We start from the raw sequence: 996 nt of genomic DNA on the forward strand, positions 1-996 counted from the left end.
TACATAATGTTTGTGTATCACAATATATTCCTTTTAACTAATAGGCTTTTTTATTTTTTTTAGAGCAACTTTAGGTTTACAGAAAAATTGTGCAGAAAGAGTTCCCATATGTCCCCTTCCCCAACAGTTTCCTTATCATTCACATCTTGCTGTGGTGTGGTCATTTGTTACGATTTCTGAAGCAGTCTTGGTATAGGACTATTAACCACAGCTCACTGCTTCTGTTAGGGTTCGTGCTTTGTGCTGTACATTCTGTGGGTTTTGATAAATGCATCGCATCTTGTGGCCACCATGTCAGCATTACACAGAACAGTTTCCCTGCCCTAAAAATTCCCCTGTGCTTCACTTATTCATCCCTCATCCCTTCCCCTCCCCGAACCCTTTGGCAACCACCGGTATTTTTACTCTCTCTATAGTTTTGCCTTTCCCAAAGTGTCATATAAATTTTATTCTTTAAAATTTTTTCTGACCCTTTAAAATGTAAAAAAACATGCTTAGCTCTCATGCGGCACGAAAACTGGCAGCAGGCCAGACTCGGCCCAAGGGCCAAACTTTGCCAACCCCAGATCTCATCTATAGAGTGTATTCAAATTGTGTCCATTGTCCTAGTAATAATGCTCTTTTTTTCTGGTCTAAGATCAAATCCAGGATCATCTGATGCATTGAGCTGTCACGGCTTCTTCGTCTCCTTTAATCTGGTTCAGTTTCTTAGTCTTTTTGTTTTTCATGATCCAGACATTTTTGGAAGAGCAGGGGCAGTTATTTTGTCCTATGTCCCTCAATTTAGATAATCAGATACCCCCGTTATAAGACTCAGGGGTGCATTTCTAGCAGGAATACATGGAAGCGATATTGTGACCTCAGGGCCTGACATCGGGAGGCAGGCAGTGCTGTCTCCTGACATCAGGGATGTTAACTTTGACCCACAGGGTTATGTGGTTTGTGCTGGGTTTTCCCACTAAATTGCCTTTGTAATTAATAAGCACTTATGGGGAG

The 996-nt window shown here is 41.5% G+C and overlaps 1 protein-coding gene across 14 annotated transcripts in view; it reads right to left on the reverse strand.

The window, feature by feature from the left end:
* The window catches only part of HLCS (holocarboxylase synthetase), a 241,587-nt gene that overhangs the window by 28,266 nt on the left and 212,325 nt on the right, over positions 1–996 (reverse strand). The gene's annotated exons all lie outside the window — the stretch shown is intronic.

This window comes from Homo sapiens, chromosome 21 (assembly GCF_000001405.40).
Source record: "Homo sapiens chromosome 21, GRCh38.p14 Primary Assembly".
Taxonomy (NCBI): domain Eukaryota; kingdom Metazoa; phylum Chordata; class Mammalia; order Primates; family Hominidae; genus Homo; species Homo sapiens.